At 39.1% G+C, this 25,315-nt stretch overlaps 1 protein-coding gene across 20 annotated transcripts in view, besides 2 other annotated features; it reads right to left on the bottom strand.

Moving 5' to 3' along the window:
- The window catches only part of PPP1R12B (protein phosphatase 1 regulatory subunit 12B), a 244,004-nt gene that overhangs the window by 122,503 nt on the left and 96,186 nt on the right, over positions 1–25,315 (bottom strand). For 11 of the 20 annotated variants that reach the window (XR_001737195.2, XR_007060689.1, XR_001737196.3 and 8 more), the window contains 2 exons: positions 24,972–25,154; positions 21,029–21,211 (listed from right to left, as the gene is read on the bottom strand). Coding sequence is in view for 8 of the 20 variants with exons in the window: in NM_001331029.2 (NP_001317958.1) it covers positions 21,029–21,211; positions 24,972–25,154 (366 nt within the window). In the remaining 12 variants the exon portion in view is untranslated. Of the gene's footprint in view, positions 1–7,102; positions 7,487–21,028; positions 21,212–24,971; positions 25,155–25,315 lie in introns of those variants that run through there. The other 9 variants (XR_007060690.1, XR_007060691.1, XR_001737199.2 and 6 more) reach the window with 3 other exon arrangements.
- Positions 10,065–10,359: a silencer, noted in NCBI's record as "tiled region #7043; HepG2 Repressive non-DNase unmatched - State 23:Low". NCBI's record gives its function as "represses a minimal TATA promoter and a strong SV40 promoter by Sharpr-MPRA in HepG2 cells {active_cell/tissue: HepG2}" and the evidence as "EXISTENCE:reporter gene assay evidence [ECO:0000049][PMID:27701403]".
- Positions 24,993–25,193: a silencer, noted in NCBI's record as "peak655 fragment used in MPRA reporter construct". NCBI's record gives its function as "represses an SCP1 promoter by STARR-seq MPRAs in K562 erythroleukemia cells {active_cell/tissue: K562}" and the evidence as "EXISTENCE:reporter gene assay evidence [ECO:0000049][PMID:32103011]".

The raw sequence follows: 25,315 nt of genomic DNA, 5'->3' as shown, positions 1-25,315 counted from the left end.
GGAGTTCTAGCTTGCGTAAGTAGGCAATCAGGAAAAGAACCGTGTTAGCATAGGTGGACTCTCTGTATTACGACCAGTAGATTCACAGACTCGTCTACTCTCACCAACTCCTAGAAATCGGTCTCCAGCTCCTGTAATCACTAGGATGGCCTCCAATGGGGAAAAAGGGGGTATCTGGGGAAGCAGAAAAGCTCTTAAACCTGCGGTTCTTAACCTTTATTGAAATCTAACCCATCTTTAACAATCAGATAAGAAATGTAATCTCCTACCCCTAAAAAAGCACTTACGTATACACAAAATTTGGCTAGCAATTTCAGGGATTTCTGAACTTTCCATTAGCTCAGATTATGAAGGAAAGGATCTAGAAAGAAAGAACTCCCTAAAAGACCTAAATTAGATTTATCTTCAGAGAAAGCCTCTAAAATAAGTCCATTATTTTCAATTTCCAATTACCCTACTTTGCAGATGAATCAAATTCCTCTAAGACTCGGTGGCATATTTTTTTTTCTTTTTTGAGTCAGGTTTCCTGAGGTAAGTTTACATATGGTAAAATTTGCCCTTTTTAGCAAATAGGTCTGTGAGTTCGAATTTTGACAAATGCATAAAGTCTCATAACCGTCACTGTAATCAAGATACAGAACAATTCTGTCACCCTCCAAAACTCACTCATGCTACTTGGTAGTCACCCCAGTCCTAGCATAAGGAAAATTTTTTTTAACTTCTATTTTTTATTTATTTATATAGGTAAACTCATGTCACAGAGTTTGTTGTACAGATTATTTCATCACCCAGGTACTAAGCCTAGTACCCAATAGTTATTTTTAAAACTCACTGTTGAAGAAACACATTGACATTTTCTCACACTAGAAAGTAATATGTAAACCAACAACTGCCTTAGCTCATTAAGTCAGATGTTGGCCACTATACTAAACTGTAGATTATAACAAAAAAAAGTGCTATTCTACCCACAACTAACCACCATTCTCGAAGTTCTAGGAAGGTAGGGACTACACTTTATCATTACATCATTAAAATTTAGCATTGTGCCTACCCTTTATTAGGTACTCTAAAACAATTATTGAACTGAATTAAGGTTATGGATGAAATTCAGAATCTGAGCTATTCAGTTTTGTTTTAGAGTTGACCCTAATTCCCTACATATTTATTTACCATTTTTAAAGTTTGGTCAATAGTGTACTGGTTCATGTGCTCATTTTGTTCATTCTATTCAACCAGTTTCCCATTTTACCTTCCCTTTCTTTTTTTTGAGACAGAATCTTGCTCTGTCACCCAGGCTGGAGTGCAGTGGTCACTGCAACCTCTGCTTCCTGGTTTCAAATGACTCAGCCTCTCAAGTAGCTAGGACTACAGGCAAGCGCCACCATGCCTGGCTAATTTTTTGTATTTTAGTAGAGACAGGATTTCACCATGTTGGCCAGGCTGGTCTTGAACTCCTGACCTCAGGTGATCCGCCCGCCTCAGCCTCCCAAAGTGCTGGGATTACAGGCATGAGCCACCGTGCCCAGCCACCACTTTACCCTTCTTTACCTATTCCAAATGCTCTGTTCTGAAGCAAGATCTTGTAAGGGAGCTGGACATATTAAGTACTGATAATTAAAATTTAAGACAAAAATTGCCACAAAGAGATAGCTCTGGAGAGGAAATCTGAGGAGTATCAGGAATAAAATGTTGCAAGGGGATGATCTGGGCAGAATCTAAAGAGAATAAGAGACTTCCTAGAAAACAACTGGCTAGCCATATGTAGAAAGCTGAAACTGGATCCCTTCCTTACACCTTATACAAAAATTAATTCAAGATGGATTAAAGACTTAAATGTTAGACCTAAAACCATAAAAACCCTAGAAGAAAACCTAGGCAATACCATTCAGGACATAGGCATGGGCAAGGACTTTATGACTAAAACACCAAAAGCAATGGCAACAAAAGCCAAAATTGACAAATGGGATCTAATTAAACTAAAGAGCTTCTGCACAGCAAAAGAAACTACCATCAGAGTGAACAGGCAACCTACAAAATGGGAGAAAAGTTTTGCAACCTACTCATCTGACAAAGGGCTAATATCCAGAATCTACAACGAACTCAAACAAATTTACAAGAAAAAAACAAACAACCCCATCAAAAAGTGGGCAAAGGATATGAACAGACACTTCTCAAAAGAAGACACTTATGCAGCCAAAAAACACATGAAAAAATGCTCATCATCACTGGCCATCAGAGAAATGCAAATCAAAACCACAATGAGATACCATCTCACACCAGTTAGAATGGCAATCATTAAAAAGTCAGGAAACAACAGGTGCTGGAGAGGATGTGGAGAAATAGGAACACTTTTACACTGTTGGTGGGACTGTAAACTAGTTCAGCCATTGTGGAAGTCGGTGTGGTGATTCCTCAGGGATCTAGAACTAGAAATACCATTTGACCCAGCCATCCCATTACTGGGTATATACCCAAAGGATTATAAATCATGCTGCTATAAAGACACATGCACACATATGTTTATTGAAGCACTATTCACAATAGCAAAGACTTGGAACCAACCCAAATGTCCAACAATGATAGACTGGATTAAGAAAATGTGGCGCATATACACCATGGAATACTATGCAGCCATAAAAAGGATGAGTTCATGTCCTTTGTAGGGACGTGGATGAAGCTGGAAATCATCATTCTCAGCAAACTATCACAAGGACAAAAAACCAAACACCGCATGTTCTCACTCATAGGTGGGAATTGAACAATGAGAACACATGGACACAGGAAGGGGAACATCACACACTGGGGCCTGTTGTGGGGTGGGGGGAGCGGGGAGGGATAGCATTAGGAGATATACCTAATGCTAAATGACGAATTAATGGGTGCAGCACACCAACATGGCACATGTATACATATGTAACTAACCTGTACGTTCTGCACATGTACCCTAAAACTTAAAGTATAATTAAAAAAAAAAAAAAAGAGAGAGACATCCTACAAAACAAGGGAGGACAGCATTGCTTGCAGGACCATTCTCAGATTTTAAGCAGGAGTCAGTGATTGGATGAGATTTGCATATAAGAAAGATCACTAATGCTGCACTGTAGATGGTGGAATGGTGGGTGGGGCAGGGGAGAGGAAGGCCCAGTTAGGAGGGCCTGAGTTAACAGAAAGAGAGGAGAAGATGGAATTGAAGGATTCTTAAGGAGAATGACAGACAAGACTTGGTGACAGACTAAATATGAGAAGTAAAGAATGAAAAGCCTTCTAGTTTGATTTCCAAGTTCTCAGTTGGGTGACATGTAAGACAATTAGCAGAGATTTCTAAAAAAAAAAGTGAGAACAAAGACTTTCTCTTGCCTTTTTAAGGCTAGAGGAAAGAAAGATTTGGTTTACCTGTTGGCTTATTCCCTCTTTCTAAAGAGGACTTGAGAATTCTTACAGAAATACATGCCTATAACAATACTTTAAATAGATAAATAAAGGAAATAAGAAATAAGGAGATAAAGTAACAGCCAGAAATGGCTATTGTTATGGAGTGCCTACATGAAGTTAGGCACTGTCCTAAGTAAGTCCTTTACATGTAGTACAATGAACTTCTGCAAAGAAGTTTGAGCTGGAGAGAGAGATCTGAGTGCTAGCTGCAGCAATCAGAATGGATGAGGTCAGCTAGGGAGAGTCCTAAGGAGAGAAAAGAAGGAAGCCTAAGGAACAATGCCTAAGGTGTTTACAGAAAAAAAAAAGGGCTAAAAAGAACACAAAGAAGGAGCAATCAGAAAAGGTAGAAGTGAGCCAGGAAAGAATAATATCAGAGAGGTTATGGTAGAATAAAAATTTAGGAAGGCAATAGTCAACATTATAAATTACTGCCAGGATTCAAGGTAAAAGATGAAGTGACTAAGGAATTTAGTAATTAGGAAGTTTACAGGGCCCTTTGCCAGAAAAAATTCACTGGATTGGGGGGTGGGGCAGAATTTCTATTTCAATATGTTGAACAATGAATAGAAGGCCAGGAAATGGATAAAGTGAAATTGGAAGACTGTTTCAAGACTAACAGTGAAGGGAAGAGTGAGACATGGTAACCCTAGAGAGCAGTGCAGGGTCAAAGGTGAATCCTATTACGACAGGAAAAATAAACAACTGTCAAGGACAAATAAAATCATTGTGCAGGTGTATTTTTGTAATAGATAGAGCTAAACTTGCAGTTTTGCTTCCCAATGTTTATGAATTTTGTATGCTAAGTGTTCTATTAAACACTGTCAGTTTCATTATAAAGAAATTTAGTTCTCAAAGGATTCTTGAGCTATTACTATATTTTATTTACACGTCAATGATTAATGAGCCATTTTCAGCACAAGTGCGCAAGGACTGTGAATCATACTCTAGTTCCCTTTATCAGGTTAGAAGACTAGATTTCCTTAGAAAAAATAAGTTTAAAAGCTAGGTCAGTATACTATCCAGTATTATTTAAGAGACTCTGAGGAAGAGGAAGAAAAATCACTGTTTAAAGAAGAATCAGAAACAAGCCTTCAGGTAATTGCTGTCAGCCAATTCCATTTTTAAAAATACTTCTTAAAATAGAAATATGCCTGCCCAAGGCTCTGGAACTCTCCCAAAGATAAGCTTCTTATATTCAGCAACCTCAGCCAACCCTGGACAGCCAGATGACCCATAAGACAACCTCTCATTTGGTTCTCAAATCAAAAATAAAAACAAAAAAACCCTATTTCCCATCTAGATTTCAGAGAGGCTAGCAAGTTTTCAATTTGCTTCACTTTCAGAAGTGATATTTCCCTATACAAAGACTCATTTCCTAGAAGTTCTACTTTCCCTTCAAATAAATATCAAGAGATTCTAACCATTGTGCTTATATTGCCAAGCTCATGGTATACAAATATCCAGTGAAGACTGACCCCTTGGACACATTTTCTTGGAGGTGTAGAAGAGCAAGCATGGGCCTCAAAGTCCAAAATACCTCGTTTTGAATTCTGGCTTTTCATTACAAATTCTGTGACTGTGGACAGATTCCTTAACCTAGCTGAGCCTCAATGCATTCTCTTACGTGAATTAAGAAAAGAATATTACTTATCTGACAAAGTTACAAAGATTAAATGCATCTAGCAGGGTACTTGGCTTATAGTAAGTTTTCAAAAACATTAATTCTCTTACAGCATTTAAACCTTTCATATACTTAAAGGCCAACTCAATCTCCTCTGGCTCCACGAAGCCCCTTCTGACTACTCCATCCTATACCATTCATCTTCTCTGAACTCTTAATATACCTACCTAAACACAATTTTGCTCTCAAGGACATATTATTCCTTAATATACACTCATGCCTTACTATGTGTACATTTGATGTCTTGGATCATGAGAGCACTTGGGCATGTCCCTTTTTTATCATACAGTTTTTAACACAATATTGAGCACACAACTAAGGCAGTCACTGATGACTTAGAATGCTATTATTTTATAATCTAATATTCCCTATAGATCTCCTAACTCCACCAATTAGCTGAGTAAGAAACTGAACAAGAGAAGTTAAATGGCTTGCCTGAGAAGGCATAAATTGTGGGCTTAGCTGGAGAGTAAACTAGGTATCCTCTCTTGCAATCCAGGGAGCTTTATACCTTGTACCTGTCGCTCTTGTGTGAAGAAGTGCCAGGGTGAAAGTGCACAAAGGGCCTTCATGTGCCAAAAAAAATCTGCATTCCCTATATTAAAACACTTAAATGGAATGGGATAGAAAGGCTCATCTGCGAACTCATCCAAACACAAAACGGTCTTTGCTAGCTTCACACTCAAGTAGATCAATAGACGTTCTTCTGCTGCCATCTTATGGGCATAGAAGATCACTACACATGGGCTTATTTTCATTTGAGAAATAATTTTATTCAATAAACATTTACCCATCATCTACTATGTATTAGGCTCTGTGAAGAAAACCCAATTAAAAGCACCCTAAAGAAGCTCAGAATGTAGTAATGAAAAGCAACAACATACCATTTAATTAATTAGTAAACCAATCCTAAGACAGTGTTACAAAAAAAGAACACTGAAGACAGAATACTAGTTTTAGCCTGGGGCTCAGGTGTAGCAGGGTAGTCAGTAGTGGGTTTTAATTTGCAGGAGTTCTTACAGTATGAATACAATTTTGTTAAGCAAAGAAGGTGAGAAAAAACTATTCTAGAAAGAAGGTCACGCATGGACAAAGGAAGAGGGTCATGAAAGTAAAATGTACAGGAAATAGGCCTAATCTTTCTACCTGAGTAAAGTGACGCAATTACCAGGAAGAAGAGTTGAGAGAAAGGGATAAGAAAAATAGAGAGAAAAGTATAGTCCTGGGTAGGCTGAATTCAGAGTTTGGTGAGTGCTCTCTCTACAGAACTAAAATGACTAACGATCAGCAGGATTTTCTATATTGCCTGATTCAGCATGTGTTTGTATTCTGTCCAGAAATTGGTCCTCTGAACAAGATCAACTAGGAAACTTCTCATCTTATACACATGGAAAAACATTAACTTCCATTAATATTCAATCTGATTGTAGAGTGTGTAGTAAGTAAATAACTTTTACCCATACCTGATTGAACTAGTCTCTTCATTTTATAATTTCAAAGGCCAACTCAAGTTGCAATCTGCCCCTTCACCTATGTAAATGAGCTTCTTTCTGTAATTGCCCTAAATATCCAACAATACTTTTTTCTGTTTTACTTATTTAAAACATATATAATATTTAAGGCAAACAAAAAAGATATAAAGAATAATAAACCATCACCTGTGTCTTACTATCCAACTTAAGAATAACAGTGCCAATTCCAGTTTCTTCTTTAAAAGAGAAGCATGTTTCTACTTCTTGAAACTCTTAATTGTCCTCTGCTACCCTAATCTTTTGGGTCTGATGTTTATAAGTCAGTGCACATGTTTAAATTCATTAGTAATGTGAAGAAACACTAGAGAAGTTCCAAACTGGTTATATCTTATTCTTACCACTTGCCTTCTCCCACTTCCCCAACCATACCACCAAATCAAAGTATGCAACCAAGCCAGTTTCCCAAAGAAACATGCATCTAGGACATTAAAGCTATCAAACAAAGAAATTTTACCTGCTGCTTCTGACATTCCAGGCCCAGCACTTGCTGATGTCTCAACTCAGCACACTGGAGTTAGCATCCAAACACAGAGTACTAACAAACTATGGCAGAGGCTTGTCTCAATTCCCCAGAACACCCAGATCAACTTCCTGTGCCTCTGATTTCCATAAAACCAGGAATGGCAAGGAACTCTATTGCCAGATCAAATCATTCCAGGTGAAAGCAGGTCAAGCTATCTCAGACACACCTTGCCACACACTTGTGCAGCAACTTTCCCAGAAGCCCAATTTTCAACAAACAGGTGGCCACTCCTCTGACTGTCCTTCTCTAAACACTGGAGCCCATTTTATGAGATTGTACCAGCAACTGTCCTTTTCTAACATGGGAAAATCAACTGATAAAAAACAAGGGAGGGTTGAATGAGGGCTGAAAATTTTGGTCCCTCCTACATGTCACCAATATTCACAGCTCTGAAAAATGAACCACTTTATCAGAAGGAGATTAACCGCAAAAACATGGCTGATAAGGGCTTTTAGTAGCAGGTGTTGGGTGACTGTCTTCACTCTGAAGTGGCTGGGAACTGGGATAGAACTATCAGAGGTTCTGCTACATAAGGAAATGGATTCTTGTCCTTTCTTCTAAATGCACGTGTCCTGAGGGGGAGGGGGAAACACTTTAAGCTTCCACTCCTGAACTGTTAAGTGGTGGGCTGAGAAACGCATGACAAATGCCCTTATCTCTGGAAAATGAAGTGAGATGGTGTTGGCAACAGCCGTGTTTAGCAACAGAAATACGGAAAAAAGAAAATAGACTCTTTTATTCAAGGCTCTAAATCTCATTGCTTTAACTCTTAGTAGACACCATCTAGGCCTCCCTTCCCAGAACTGTTTGGTGGAGATTAACAGTACTAATGTTATTTTTAAACAGCTTTATTGAGACATAATTCACATGCCCATTAGGTGTACCATTTAAAGATTTTTAGTATATTCAGATTTATGCAATCGTCACTATAACCGATTTTAAAACATGCTCACCTTAGTATCAAAAATATCCACTACTGCATAGTATTGAGTGTACTTGTTTGCAAAACAACAGAAATTGACCTCACTTAGGCAGGAAAGGAATCTGTGGGAGGGAATTACTAATATTTTTAGCATAAAGAATATCACTGGGATAGGAGGCCCAGGCTCAAACTTTCCTGCAAGGGTCAACTGCTACCATTATCACATTCAGCTCACTAGCTCTTGCCTCATATAAATGTTCAAATGCTTAGATTCCTGGACACTGCTTGGTGAGGGGAGAAAAGGCATAAGAAGGTACCTGTGTATGGCTGCCACTTACTTTGTCACCACAATGGAGATTTTCCCTTAGGGCTGCAGAAAATAATGTATAACATTATAAATAATTGGTAAGGACATCAGAGGCAGGACAAGTGAGCTTAAATTTAAAAATTAAGTCTCCTAAACTTGAGATATGGAATCCCTATAGCATGTAGGGTTTAAAAATTAAACATCCCTAAAATCTAAAATGGTATTAATATTTAGCATTTTAGGGTGGATCTTATTTCCAAATGTATTAGCTCTGGAAAAGCTAGGAATGGATCTTAATGAAAGTCAAAAAAGCATTTCACTGGTAATGACATAAATAATTGTCATATATATCTCTAAATTGTTTTGTAGTTTGCAAAACACTTTCACATAGTCTGTCTCATTTGATCCTCACAATAGCTCCATGAGATAGATTTGGGAAAATCTAGGTTACTCGTAAATTATTTCTAATCCTCAAATACATGCAAACAAGGTAAGCATTATCCCTTTTTTACATATGAGGAAAGAGTCAGAAACGGAACTTGATTTATTTAACCAAAATCACACATATAAAAGGCCGAACTGGACTATTCTTTTTTTTTTTTTTTTAAAGAGATGGGGATCTCACTATATTGCCCAGGCTGGTCTTGAGCTCCTGGCATCAAGTGATCCTTCTGCCTCAGCCTCTCAAGTAGCTGGGATTACAGGTGTCAGCCACCATGCCCCATTTGAACTGGAACTCTTAAATCAATCCTGTGCATTTCCCACTAAGTCTAGCCATTCACAGTTATCTAGGGGTAGCCTCATCTCTCAGGCAGCAACATATCATCACTATTATTTCAAAGAGACATATTCTGAAAAAAAATTACATAGAGGTGCCATATGACACTGAAAGCAGTTTGTTTGTAAGGCATATTCAGCCTGGTGAAGCCTCTTGTCATTTTGCTACCTAAGGATTAGGGCCAAAGCACTAAAAGAATCACCTTTTTTCTTTCTATTCCAGAATTGTTCAGAGTCCCACAGCATAATCCTAATTCTATAAGCAATCCAGAGACCTCCAGAATTGTAATATAGTAGAAAATGTACCCACTGCTACATATGTTTCACTCTCTTCTTGTTCAATATTCATACTTAGGAAGAGAGAGCTTATTTCTATCAGTAGAGAAAAAACTTGGTAATGGCAGCATGGCCGCAGACTTTTAGATAACTAATCACTTTAGAACAAAACTGGAGAAAGATTGGAGTCGTTTGTGGAACCTCTTTGAGTACCTTTTTGAATTGACAACTGCCAGTCTTTAGCTTGGACACAGGGGAACAAATCAAATGACTTTTAAAAACCATAACTCAGAGTTTAAATTCTTGGTTTAAATTTTGAACATTCCAAAGATGATGCCAAATTAATCTGCTGACAGCTTCACATTAGTAGGTATAACTACCTAGCTTATAAAGACCCCAAGGGACTGAAGAAGGTCCATAAGTGTGGTATATATGACTCAGCCAGTACTCACTGTATCTTGACCAAGCAAAGCAGAGTCATATGTAATGTGAGCTATTTGGGAAAGACAATTTTAGCTTATTGTGGAGAAAAACTATTTTTAACCATTTCTACAAAGAAAAGAAAGAGCACAATTAAAAAAGAGGTAAAATTCAGGGTTGGGTGAGAGAGAAAAAGCTAAAGGAAAAACAAAAGAATCAAAGTCAGACACTATTAGACTCTAATATTAGCAATGGGAATTGTTTACATTTTGTTGCTAAGGAAAACTTGGAGCTTTGGAAAATGAACCCAACCACTACCCTATTGTGACAGCTGCTGCCTGGCCCTGGTATTTCTGCAGAGCTATCTGCCAACAGCTTGCCACTTGCCATTTCTGTCCTGTCAAATCAGTCCCTTTATAATCAGATGACCTTGTTGGTTTCTATAGTTCTCACAAGCAATCCAAAGACTGAATGGCAGTTATCAGAAAGCCCTAAAGATAGAGACTGTTGCATTCTGAGCTGTGGACTGGCCCCTGAGTCAAAACCTTTATTCTGAATGGATAATACTTAAATTCAATAGAAGAAATGGTCAGTAAATTCAATGAGGAGGAAAAGAAGGCCTAGGTGATGGTCTCTACTGTGCCTCTGACTCAGAGTGTCATATTAAGCAAATGACTCTATGCTCTTAGGGCCTCAGCATTCCCATTTGTAAAATAGGGAGCATATTGTTCTATTCCTTTCCATCTTATAAAGAGAATACATTCAAGCACACTTGAGCTTTTCAGGGGGGAAAAAAAGGAACTTCACAAATCCAAGATTATGCCCTTCTCAAAAAGGAATAAACTGTTTTACAAGTTCTGTACTGTGTATGCAAAACCATAAATTATCTAGAATCCTGCAAACCTTGAATCTCTATTATATTTACTCTTCAACGATCACAGCCTTCTTCACAGACTTACATTATAAGAAAGACTGTTGTCCCTATAATTAATATTCCTTCATGCCCTCCTGCTCCCTCTGCCCCATAATAACAGTAATCCTTTATCATTCTGGAACTTTGGAAAATACAGAAAAAATAAAAATAAAAAGTATCCATAATACACCCAAAAATCCAATATTAACATTTCCATGTTTATTACTATTTGGCATCATAATGTATTCTTTTATATCTAGCTTTGCTCATTTAGCAACATATCTGTAGTTAAACTGAGTAAAGAACTGTTAGCACAAGGGTGTAAAGCTGAGACTGATCATTGGCCAATTGGTATGCACATACCCACTTATCCCCTCTTAAGATAAAACATTCTCAGAAAAGGAGAGCCAGCTGTGCAATTTAATGGTAAAACCCACTCCCCAACTGAAGTGCTTTAATTACACTGCAAATGGAGATTATTTCTGAGAGAGAACCTTCTACTACTTTGGTCTTGCTGTGGCCAGTTTTAAAGCCCCATTTATCCCAATGCTCACTAATTGTTTGAAATTGGACCTGTGAACACAGGCTTCAGGCTTTTATCAAGGTTTCCCAGTAGGAGTCAAAATGCTTCCACAATGAGCTGATTACAGAGAAAGCTGCAGCTTCAAGAGTAGAATTAGCATCCAGCATGCTCTTTCAGAAGGAAAATTTAGCTGTTTTCAAAACATCTGATTTTTTTTTCTTTCAGTTTATGCTTGTCTAGCCAGAGAAACTAAATGGCTTTAATTCTGTAAAGGCTTAAATGATATGTTTTATTTGATCAAGTCATTCCCCTGCTGGAAATCCCTCAATTGTATTCCATAGCTTTGAGACTAGAAATTCAAATTTCTTAGCATAGTACAGACAAAAATCTACATGATTTGGTTCCTGCCTACCTCTCTAGCTTGACAATTTCCAAAGTTTCTCCAGTGGAATACCAGTCTTGGGTTTCTTTGAAAAACAAAACAAAACTACTAGATGGACTCAGAAATTTGGAAAATGCTGCAAATTCCCTAACCACTCCCACGTCCCACTCTCCCCATTCCCCAGAGAGGAATGACCCTAAGAAAGCTTTTGAGTGATCCTATTTATTCCCTCAATTGTATTCCATAGCTTTGAGACTAGAAATTCAAATTTCTTAGCATAGTACAGACAAAAATCTACATGATTTGGTTCCTGCCTACCTCTCTAGCTTGACAATTTCCAAAGTTTCTCCAGTGGAATACCAGTCTTGGGTTTCTTTGAAAAACAAAACTACTAGATGGACTCAGAAATTTGGAAAATGCTGCAAATTCCCTAACCACTCCCATGTCCCACTCTCCCCATTCCCCAGAGAGGAATGACCCTAAGAAGGCTTTTGAGTGATCCTATTTAATTTTGTTTAATCCATTGTTCCCAAATTCATTTAGCCACAGAATACTTTTTTTTTTTTCCTTCATCTAAATCTGTTTCCACAAAAGACACTTTCAGATATGCTAGCCTGGCCTCACCTTCTCCCAGCTTCAGGCATTCTGAACTTGTTTGTTTCTTGAATTTCTCATGTTTCCTCTCAAATACCATCCTCCTATTACTACTTATAGTTAACTTAAAGTTGCCTTTCAAAATTCAACTCCAGTTACCTCCTCTGGTAGGCCTTCCTTGTCACCCTATTCAATCTAATTTAGATTCCCCTCCTCTATGCTCTCATAGCAATCTATACATATCTTTACCACAGCACTTAACAATTATACAATAATATTTGATGTACTTATTTGACTTCCCATAATAGTTATATCCTCAAGGGTAGAAAAAATGTTTTCTTTCTTTCTTTTTTTTTTTTTTTGAGATGGAGTCTCGCTCTGTCTCCCAGGCTGGAGAGCAATGGCGCAATCTCAGCTCACTGCAACCTCTGCGTCCCAGGTTCAAGTGATTCTCCTGCCTCGGCCTCCTTAGTAGCTGGGATTACAGGCACGTGCCACCATGCCCAGCTAATTTTTTGTATTTTTTTAGTAGAGATGGCGTGTCGCCATGTTGGTCAGGCTGGTCTTGAACTCCAGACCTCAAGCAGTCCACCCGCCTCGGCCTCCCAAAGTGCTGGGATTACAGGTGTGAGCTACTGGACCCAGCCAAAAAAATGTTTTCTTTGGTCTCGTATCCTTAATGTCTCTGTGCCTGGCACATGGCAGTCTCTCAATAAATGGTTGTTAGGTGCTTTATATATGTGGGTTCCCATTTAAACAAGATTCTATATAGATAATACTATTTTGCAAAATCTTATACTTTAAAAACCATTCCTGATTCATTTACCAAACTGTTCCTATACGTGTGTCTATCTTCAATACAGCTGGTCAACTGTAATTCTTGTTACCTATTCCAATAATAGTTTGAGGTTTCTTTCTGCATTTAAAACTTTTATTACATGTTAGTCTGCATCTATGAGTTTGTCATAGAACTCTTCCCTCATGGTGACCTTCAGTGTTTATGTTTTATGTGAATTCATCTTTGGTTGAAACTGTTTTTACAGTTTACAGTCTTTTACTCTGGATTGCAGATGTGTTCCTTCAAGGTGGTTTTGAATTTACTTGTGCCAGGGCCCCAGAGTTTCAAGAGTACAGACACAGTTTCTGTATTAAATCCTTGACTTTTGGGATTTCTAAACTATACGAATAGTGAAAATTTCTCACAAGTGAGTCATCTGCCCTACCCTGACGCTTGTATAGATTTCCTTCCTTGCCACTCCTTTGAGCTATGGGCAAAGTACCCTTTTCATGAACCCTTTGAGATTTCTAGCTTGATATAGTTTCTTAGTTACAACTTGCAGCCTTAGTAGGTCCACAGCCATGCGTTCTACACACACGGCATTAAAATCTGAGTGTCCAGACCTTATGGTCTACATATAGGTCTGACACCAACCCTGGGTCACTCAAACTACTCTGGCTTTTGAGTACTCTTCACTTTTGTCATCTGAGAGTTCCCTATTATTCTTCTGAATTCAACTATGAATTTCTGTTTATAATGGGCAAGGGAGCCTTATAAGTTCCATCTACCATGTCGGAATTATCCTCCTAAACGTATTTTCAAACCATTCACATTTCTTTCTTTCTTTCTTTCTTTCTTTTTTTTTTTTGAGACGGATTCTTGCTCTGTCGCCCAGGCTGGAGTGCACTGGTACAATCTCGGCTCACTGCAACCTCCATTTCCCAGGCTCAAGCGATTCTACTGCCTCAGCCTCCTGAGTAGCTGGGATTACAGGCGTGCATCACCACTCCTGGCTAATTTTTGTATTTTTATTAGAGACGGGATTTCACTGTGTTGGCCAGGCTGGTCTAGAACTCCTGACATCAAGTGATCCAACCCCCTCAGCCTCCCAAAGTGCTGGGATTACAGACATGAGTCACCGTGCCTGGCCAAGATCATTCACTTTTCTCTATCTCTTCTACCATTATCTCAGTGCAAGCCACTGTTCTCTCTCATGAGCCTTTCTTCTGCAGTGGTTTCCTTACTGGTCATCTCACACCCATTCTTGTGTATTTTTCCTCATCCAATTCATATGTAAAACTGCAGCCAGAGTTTAAAAGTCAGAACTTTAAAAACTATAGGTCACGTCATGGTACTTTTTGCTTAAAATCTTCTAGTGGCATATGACCCAGAAATTCTACTCCTAGGTATATAATCAAGAGAAATCAAACCAGATGTCCACACGAAAACTTCTACACAAATGCTTGTGGTAACATTATTCATAATAACTAAAAGGTGGAAACAACTCAAGTGTCCATTGACTTATGAATGGACAAACAAAATGTGGCATTATCTATATGATGGAATATTATTCACCCATGTAAAGGAATAAAGTACTGATACATGCTATCATATGGATGAACCTTGAAAACATTATATTAAGTAAAAGAAGTCAGGCACAAAAGATTGTATTTTTATTCCATTTATATAAAATGTCCAAAATAAGCAAATCTATAGACAAAAAGTAGATCAGTGGTTGCTTAGGCCTAGGGGGAATAAGGAGATTGTGGGGGATAGCTACAGGGTACAGGATTTCTCTCTAAGATGATGAAAATGTTCTGTAATTTACTGTGATGATGGCTCCACATATCTGTGAATATACTAAAAACCACTGCATTGTACACCTTAAATGAGTGAATTGTATGGTATGTGAATTCTCTCTCTCTCTCTCTATATATATATATGTATATAGCTCCTACCTACTCCTCAAGCTTCATCCTAGACCTCTCTCCCTCATTCTTTACTCTTAGTCACAATGCCTTCTCTGTTTCTCCAAAAGATCAAGTACCTTTCCACCTCAGTATCTTTTCAATTGCCAGATCTTTTGTTTGCAATGCCCACTCCCTTCTCTTCACTTAGCTGTTACTTAACCAGCAGATCTCAGGTTGAGCAGTATCACACCCTCATGAGAGCCTTCTTTCATCCTCCAGGAGAAGGGAAATCTTTTTTTTTTTTAGAGACAGGGTTGTGCTCTGTGGTCGAGGATAGAGTACAGTGGTGTTATAATAGTTCATGGTAGCCTCAAACTCCGGGGCTCAAGAGCTCTTCCCATCTCAGGCTCTCAAGCAGCTGGAAGCATGTGCCACCACCCAGTTAATTTTATTTTTGTAGACATGGGGTCTTGCTGTGTTGCCCAGGCTGGTCTTGAGCTCCTGGTCTCAAGTGATCCTCCCAACTTGGCCTCCCAAAGTGCCAAGATTACAGGTGTGAGCTACCATACCTGGCCAAGAAGGGAAGTCTTCTGTCAGCAGATTTTCGGTATGACACTGTTATAACAACTCATACTACTTCTTTATATTACACAAATATAATTATTTACATTTTTCTTTTTCACTAGCATATTTGTTTCACAAGGGCTCACATCATATTTGTCTGGTTCACTGATGTATCACCTGGGCTTCTCATAGCACCTGGCAACAGGTACTTTAAAATATTCAGTAAGTATTTTGAAGATGAATGAATGCTAGAACATATCCAGTGAATGAGTCCAACCAGTCTACATCTAACATCTCCCTACTTACTTATCTTGTGCCATTCCTAAAATGCACTTATTTTGACCTGTACTTGATGTACCACATTCAACTCATAATTCACTAATATTTTGATTTAACCCTTTGATTCATATATCTGGTCTCTGTTACAGGTACTATCTTATTGATTGTAGGTTACAACATTTCCAGAAGGCAGTAAAACTAAGTTTCTCCAAATAACAGTTCATGCAACAAGGTATTTAATAATGCAGTTTTATAAACTACCTGATTTCCCCCATCCTTTCTGGGATCATGCTCTTAATGATGAATTTAACTCATTTTACTTCTTTCAGCTCAGAAAGATTTTTTAAAGAGAGTTTTTGTCAGCTAGAGATTACTTTTGCATTTAGTTTCTAGGTGAAACTAATAGTATCTAAATTACATTTGAGCTATTAAGTATAGAAGCATTTACTATTCAACATTGATTTATTACTATTTCCTTGGCTGGAGACCAATTTTGAAAAGACAGTTATTGGCTCTGAAACCTGTTAGCCCAGAAATTAGTTTCCTTCCATTTTATGTAAAGAAATGAAAAAAAGAAAAAAGAAAGGACAGGAAAGAAAAGAAGAAGAAAAACACTATTTTCCAACTCAACATCTCCCTTCCTTCTCAAAATGTGTCTTTATAAAAAAAAAAAAAAGTGTCTTTATAATAGACATATTAGACCTGTCCTTACAATAAGCAAACATAAAAAGTTCGATTTGTATTGTATCTTGCATCTTGTTTAATTTGTATTGTATCTTTTATACTTACTACACATACATACATACTCACGTGGGACCTGATGGCTTCACTGCTGAATTTTACCAAACACCTAAAGAAGAATTAATACCAATCTTACTCAAACTATTCTGAAAAACAGAAAAGGAAGGAATACTTCCAAACTTATCTGATGAGGCCAACATTACCTTGATACCAAATCAGACAAAGACACATCAAAAAAAGAAAACTACAGGCCAATACTAGCAAACCAAGTTCAACAACACATTAAAAAGATAATTCATCATGACCAAGTGGGATTTATCCCAGGGATGCAAGGATGGTTCAAAGATACACAAGTCAATCAATGTGATATATCATATTGACAGAATGAAAGATAAAAACACTATGATCATTTCAATTGATGCTGAAATAGCATTTGATAAAATTCAACATCCTTTCATGATAAAAACCCTCAAAAAACTGGGTACAGAAGGAACATACTTCAACACACTAAAAGCCATATATGACAAACCCACAGCTATTATCATACTGAATGGCGAAAAACTGAAAGCCTTTCCTCTAAGATCTGAAACAAGACAAGGATGTCCACTTTCAACCACTGTTATTCAATATAGTGCTGGAAGTCCTACCTAGAGCAATCGGACAAGAGAAAGCAATAGGCCAGGCACAGTGGCTCACGCCTGTAATCTTAGCATTTCGGAAGGCAGAGGTGGGAAAATGGCTTGACCCCAGGAGTTTGAGACCAGCTTGGACAACACAGTGAGACCCCATCTCTATTTAAAAAAAAAAAAAGAGAGAGAGAGAGAAAGTAATACATGACATACAAATTGGAAAGGAAGAAGTTTGCAGATAGATAATCTTATATTTGGAAAAACCTAAAGACTCCACCAAAAAAACTATTAGAACTGAAAAATTCAATAAAGTTGCAGAATTCAAAATCAACATACAAAAGTCACTAGCACTTTTATTTGCCAACAGTGAACAATCTGAAAAAGAAATCAAGAAAGTAAACCCCCTTCTCCCTCTCCCTCTCCCCCTCCCCCTCCTCCTCTCCCGTCTCCCCACGGTCTCCCTCTCCCTCTTTAAACGGTCTCCCTCTGATGCCAAGCCGAAGCTGGACTGTACTGCTGCCATCTCGGCTCACTGCAACCTCCCTGCCTGATTCTCCTGCCTCAGCCTGCCAAGTGCCTGTGATTGCAGGCGCACGCCGCCACGCCTGACTGGTTTTCGTATTTTTTTGGTGGAGACGGGGTTTCGCTGTGTTGGCCAGGCTGGTCTCCAGCTCCTAACCGCGAGTGATCCGCCAGCCTTGGCCTCCCGAGGTGCCGGGATTGCAGATGGAGTCTCGTTCACTCAGTGCTCAATGGTGCCCAGGCTGGAGTGCAGTGGCGTGATCTCGGCTCGCTACAACCTCCACCTCCCAGCTGCCTGCCTTGGCCTCCCAAAGTGCCGAGATTGCAGCCTCTGCCCGGCCGCCACCCCGTCTGGAAAGTGAGGAGCGTCTCTGCCCAGCTGCCCATCGTCTGAGATGTGGGGAGCGCCTCTGCCCCGCCGCCCCGTCTGGGATGTGAGGAGCGCCTCTGCCCGGCCGCGACCCCATCTGGTAGGTGAGGAGCGTCTCTGCCCGGCCGCCCTGTCTGAGAAGTGAGGAGCCCCTCCGCCCAGCAGCCGCCCCGTCTGAGAAGTGAGGAGCCCCTCCACCCGGCAGCCACCCCGTCTGGGAAGTGAGGAGCGTCTCCACCCAGCAGCCACCCCGTCCGGAAGGGAGGTGGGGGTCAGCCCCCACCAGGCCAGCTGCCCCGTCCGGGAGGGAGGTGGGGGGTCAGCCCCCACCCTGCCAGCCGCCCCGTCCGGGAGGTCGGGGGCACCTCTGCCCGGCCGCCCCTACTGGGAAGTGAGGAGCCCCTCTGCCCGGCCACCACCCCGTCTGGGAGGTGTACCCAACAGCTCACTGAGAACGGGCCATGATGACAATGGCGGTTTTGTGGAATAGAAAAGGGGGAAAGGTGGGGAAAAGATTGAGAAATCGGATGGTTGCCGTGTCTGTGTAGAAAGAAGTAGACATGGGAGACTTTTCATTTTGTTCTGTACTAAGAAAAATTCTTCTGCCTTGGGATCCTGTTGATCTATGACCTTACCCCCAACCCTGTGCTCTCTGAAACATGTGCTGTGTCCACTCAGGGTTAAATGGATTAAGGGCGGTGCAAGATGTGCTTTGTTAAACAGATGCTTGAAGGCAGCATGCTCGTTAAGAGTCATCACCACTCCCTAATCTCAAGTACGCAGGGACACAAACACTGTGGAAGGCTGCAGGGTCCTCTGCCTAGGAAAACCAGAGACCTTTGTTCACTTGTTTATCTGCTGACCTTCCCTCCACTATTGTCCTATGACCCTGCCAAATCCCCCTCTGCGAGGAACACCCAAGAATGATCAATAAAAAATAAATAAATAAAAAATAAAAAATAAATAAATCATACTACTATTAAAAAAAAAAGTAAACCCATTTACAGTAGTTACAAATAAAATAAAATACCTAGGAATTAATCAAATAACTAAAAGATCTTTACAATGAAAACTATAAAACACTGGTGTAAGAAATTAAACAGCACACAAATAAAGGAAAGATATTCCATATTCATGGACTGGAAGAATCAATATTGTTAAAACGTCCATACTACCCAAAGCAATCTACAGATTCAATACAATCCCTATCAAAATACCAATGCTATTCTTGACAGAAATAGAAAAAATAATCCTAAAATTCATATGGAACTACAAAAGACCCAGAATAGCAAAGCCACCCTAAGCAAAAAGAACAAAACTGGAATAACATTACCTGACTTCAGATGATACCACAAAGCTATTATAACCAAAATAGCATAGTGCTGACATAAAAACAGACATATAGACCAGTGGAACAGAGTAGAGAACTCAGAAATAAATCCATACATCTACAGTGAACTCATTTTTGACAAAGGTGCCAAGAACATACATTGGAGAAAAGACAATCTCTTAATACACACAAATATAAAAGCTCCTTCCTTTGGATATTCAAAATAATATGAAGTCAAACTGAAATCTAAATTTTGATAAGATTTCACCTGGTCTAATCTTAACAAGGGATAATTATAGCCTTAGTCTTTAAGTACATTTGAAACTCCCAAATGCAGTACATTCTATTTTTAATACTTCCTCAAGTAGGAGAAAATGACCCATTCTTGCTCGGTCACATTTTCTAATGTTTCTCTTAATGCTGGCAATCAAAAAGTTTTTCTTAGCTTCTACCTTAAATCTCTTCTATGTCAATTCACAATATTCTCTCATAACTTCTCTCTAAAGAAATTACAGAATATCTAGTCACTATTCTTCTACCATATCATCACATATTATTCATTTCTTTTTCTGGTATTCTTCTCAAATTAATCAAAAGTTTATATCCTAGTTCTATTTCTTTGAGCCTTGTGTCATACTGTTTCCTTTCTTTGCTGCCAGAGAAGTCAACGTAGACTATCCATAACAAAACAAAAGATCCTTCTCTGTGCTTCACAGGTTCTCCATTACAAAATGGTGAAATAATGCCTAACAATTGTCTCTATCACAAGACAAACAGAAAAAAGATATGCTTAAATCCATAACGACAGCCGGGAGCGGTGGCTCACGCCTGTAATCCCAGCACTTTGGGAGGCCGAGGCGGGCGGATCACGAGGTCAGGACATCGAGACCATCCTGGCTAACATGGTGAAACCCCGTCTCTACTAAAAATATAAAAGATTAGCCGGGCATGGTGGCAGGTAGCTGTAGTCCCAGCTACTCAGGAGGCTGAGGAAGGAGAATGGCATGAACCCGGGAGGCAGAGCCTGCAGTGAGCTGAGATCGCGCCACTGCACTCCAGCCTGGGCGACAGAGCAAGACTCCGTCTCAAAAAAATAAAAAAAATAAATCCATAACGGCGTTAAGTGTCTATGCTAAATAATCATAAATAATTGAGTCACCAAAAACTGACTGCTCAGAGACAAAATACAGAACAATAATATAAAGATATATTTTCAGGCTGGGCGCAGTGGCTCAGGCCTGTAATCCCAGCACTTTGAGAGGCCGAGGTGGATAGATCATGAGGTCAGGAGATCGAGACCATCCTGGCTAACATGGTGAAACCCCGTCTCTACTAAAAATACAAAAAAATTAGCCGGGTGGGGTGACACACGCCTGCAGTCCCAGCTACTTGGGAGGCTGAGGCAGGAGAATCGTTTGAACCCGGGAGGAGGAGGTTGCAGTGAGCCAAGATGGCGCCACTGCACTCCAGCCTGGGCGACAGAGTGAGGCTCTGTCTCAAAAAAAAAAAAAGACATATTTTCATAAACGTATTTGAAATTGGGAAAAACACTTTATGCCCATTCCTTTATCGTCTACCTCAAAGCAGAGCCCCACAAATGAAATCAGTAACTCAACATACCTCCTCTTCTCCCTGGCTTCCACAGAGGAATCTGTTCCAGTAATGGAGAGCACAGGAGTAGCTGTAACCCCATTGGCAGTGCTAGGAAGAGGGCGATTGGTGATCACACAGAGCGGGGTGCTAGAAGAGACATTGTCTGCTGTTTTCTCTGCTGTTGTGTCGGCCTGGGATTTGTGAGGAGTCCTGAAATTTAAAAAGATACAAGCAGAAAGGAAATGGTTAGGCATGCTATACAACAAAGCACTGGCACAGAGACAGAAGGATTAAAGAGTGGTTCATCTAGGAAATCTCGCTCTGATTTTGTTTGTTGGTTTCTTAATTTTGAGCTCTTACAGCTTGGAATAGTATAATTACATGTTTAGTCTGACATCCTTTGCCTGAGGAGTCACATTTTATGAGACTTGTATGTGTATGTGTGTGCCTGAGATTTTGTTTTAACAAAAATCATTAGCTATGGCACAAGGCAAGATAGTGACATATGCAAGAGTGTTTTAAATGACACCCCAGTAGCACCTGGTCTCTGCACATGCACACGGAGACATGGCCTCTCTACACAAGAAAAAGACATTAAAGTCACTTACAATATTAGTCTCCACCTGTTCCTTAATTCTTGGCAGTGGGAGTCTTTGTGGTAGTCCTCAGCCTAGATTTGATGACCATCTTCTTGGATTATCCAGAGACAACTGATACTCTACAGTCTCAGTATGCTTAGTTCTCCCTCACCTAATTCAGCAACTGCTCTCTCTTCCCATTTAACCAAATGCCTAATTGTCTATATTCATAACTGCAAAAGTGAGAAATTGAAACAAAAACCAAACCGGATTCTATAAGTATCCTTAACCACAGACTTTTCAACAGCAAGCTGTATAATTAAACTCATTTACATGAAAACAAGACCTTTGTTTCTTATCGAAGAGTTGGGAGCAACCATTGGCTCTCCACCCAAAAAGCTATCATTTGTGATGTCACAGCTGTTGCTGGGGTAACAGAGGTCCAAAACTGATACAGAGATGGAGAAAGCAATGAAAAGCACAAATATTAAAAATCTATTTTTTTCACCTACTCACAATTATTAGCAGAAATGTTCACGGGTAGCTCTAAGCTTACTTCCAAATAATCAAATTACAAGCTTGAAAAAAAATAATAAAAACATAAAAATATAAATATGGTACCTAGATACAAACATAAAGGCAGAATATTTTAAAAGATACATGTAATATCTAAAAAAACACATGCTACTTCTCCAGAAGCAATTAATGACTAAGAAAAAAGGTGAAATTTTATAGTCTTTTTTAACAAAAAAAGAAAAGGCAAAAAATTCCTCAGACTTACAAGATACGAATCTATAGGAAGTACTAATAAAATTAGCTAGACACACAGCTATAAAAAATTACACTTAACCAAACCTTACCTGAAGTTCTTTTTAGGTTACTAACATGTTTTGGTCTCACTGTAATTTCTTATGCTTTTGAAATGCCAAGGATTTTATTTTATTAAATTACATAATAGGACTTTTACTATTATTTTGAAATGCAGTGTAATTTTACAAGTAGATTGTTAGAATAAGAACAGCCCTAGAGCAGAGATCAGAGGATATGCAATGGAGTAGGATAAATATGGGCTTTGGAAACACAACATTTGCTTAAATGTAGACTCTCTGATCTCTTCTTCATTGATAAAATAGAGATAGTGGCACCTTAAAATACAGGGTTCTTCTAATGATTAAATAAAATAATGTCTGCAGGACACCTAAAATAGTACCCAGAATAAAATATAAACTCAGCAGATACAAACAGTGACAAAATAGGTAAGAGCTTTGAAATGTACAAATCTGAGTTCAAATCCTATCTCAGGCCCTCACTAGCTGTGTGACCTTGGGCAGATGATTAACCATTTGGTCTGAGTTTCCTCGTCTATAAAATAATACTTCATATAATAGGGGGCTCATTATAAGAGAATAGATGATATATGTATGCATGAGACAGCTAGTTGTCTAACCCATATCCATTGTCCCTTTCTTCTTTATGAACTGAATCCCTATATCATTGAGGGCAGCAATATACCTAGTTAAAAGTCCACACTTCTCAAAGTCTCCTGGCCACTAGAGGTATCCAATGAGACATATGCAGACAACTAGTACTTCTGGGAAAATTCTCAGTTCAGAAGCATTTTTTCTTTGTCTGCTTCCTTCTTTCCTCTTCCTTCTTCCCTAGAGTACAGCCATGATAGCTATAGCTTCAGCAGTTATTCTGGACCATCAGGCAACCCATGGAAATGGCAGCCATGATGCAAGAACTGTGGAGCGAAAGAACCTGGATCCTTTAATGACTGTGGAGCTACTAAGCCAGCTCTGCATATTTCTGGACTTTCTTAAGTGCAAGAAAAAAAAAAAAACCTTTACCTTATTTAAGCCACTACTATTTAGATTTATCGTTACATATGAGCAAACTAAATCCCAGTATAATAGCCAACCAAATGCCTGTCACATAATGGGGTCCAACAAATGGCAGCTGTAATTATTTTCTCTCAGTTGCAGCTCTTAATAGTTATAGTAATAGCAATATAGTATTATTATATAATATATAATATTATATATGTAAAATATAGTAATACGGCCGGGTGCAGTGGCTCTCGCCTGTAATCTTAGCACTTTGGGAGGCCGAAGTGGGCGGATCATGAGGTCAGGAGATAGAGATCATCCTCATCCTGGATAACACGGTGAAACCCCGTCTCTACTAAAAATACAAAAAATTAGCCGGGTATGGTGGCATGCGCCTGTAGTCCCAGCTACTCGGGAGGCTGAGGCAGAAGAATTGCTCGAGCCCGGGAGGTGAAGGTTGCAGTCAGCCAAGACTGCACCACTGCACTCCAGCCTGGGTGACAGAGCGATATTCCATCTCAAAAAAAAAAAAAAATATATATATATATATATATAGAGAGAGAGAGAGAGAGAGAGAGTAATATAATATAGTAATAATAACCTCTCTATGTTTGTTTCTTCAGCTATGGTGATAATAGTTAACATGTCTATGCAACTGGATTATTATAAGGACCTAATAAATTTACCTATAATTATACAGTATTATTATTAATAATCCATCATAAACCCTTCCCTCCTGGCTGAATTAATGATTACCGCTTATTTTAGGGAAAGAAATCTAGTAAACTGACAAATATCAATCAAGCACCATCACTGGTGTTCCTGCAACAACACTATCATTAAGATTTTTTTCATTTTCTTTATCAGTTGTAGACACAGACCCAAAAAAAAGAGACCCTTTGCCAGCACACATAAAGGATTAAAAGCCACAGTTAAAACTACAGCTAAAGTCCTAATGTACTTTCACAGTAACATTCTACCATGCTATCCCTTAGATGAACTAGAAACCAAGAAGATACTGCCCCCACAACACAGTTTAGACAAACACAAATCTGTCCCTTCTCACAATGTTTCCAGCAAAATACTCTCATTGGCTGGGAGTTTTCAGAAGGTTATCATAGGCTTTTGGAAAATGAGTTAGCTTTCTTTCTGATTTGGGTTTGCATGTCATTTAAAAGACTAAATACAAGAGATTCCTATTATAATTACTGGAAAATTAATAGAAGTAAAATATGAAAATGTTTTCAATATTTAATTTACCACAATAGTATGATCCTTAAATTGTAATCACAACTGGTTAGGTTGTTGAGGGATGAAATCAGTCACATTAAGCTGATGTCCAAACACCAAGTACAATTATACATACCCTTTGATTATTCAATATGCAACTGTTGACTGGTTAATACAAGTCAAAGCAAAAGCATCTTCATTAAATTCAGACATTTTCTCAGGAGTTCTAACTTGTTTTTATAGTGATAAAGTCTCTTTGGTTCAAATTTCATATGTGTTTTCAGAGCCATTAACTTTGATGAATGCAACTCAAATGGCTTCAAGAAGCCTTACCTGCCATGATGTACAGATGCAGTAGTGTTTGCACTGATTGGTGCAGGGCAAGAAGAGGCAGGTTGCCACTGGCTGCCCCGAGAGGTAGATGAACCAATGGTAATGGGTGAGGTAGCAGGAGATGAATTGCGATTGGCTGAAATGTAGGGACTTGTGGGGTCACTACTTCTACCAAATGAAGCACTGCAAAACAGCACACAGTCACTTTCTTCAGGACATGCTGCTCACCCACCATTTCCCAGCACCACCTTCCCACCCAGATTGTGCACTTGAAATGAATATAGACCAAAGAAAGGGTATGACAACTGGGAAGTGAAGTGATCAACTCCAGCTAGAGCTGAGTC

Source organism: Homo sapiens, chromosome 1 (assembly GCF_000001405.40).
Source record: "Homo sapiens chromosome 1, GRCh38.p14 Primary Assembly".
In the NCBI taxonomy this organism is placed as follows: Eukaryota; Metazoa; Chordata; class Mammalia; order Primates; family Hominidae; genus Homo; species Homo sapiens.
Note: the sequence above shows the minus strand (reverse complement) of the source record. Positions and strands in the feature narration are given on the sequence as shown.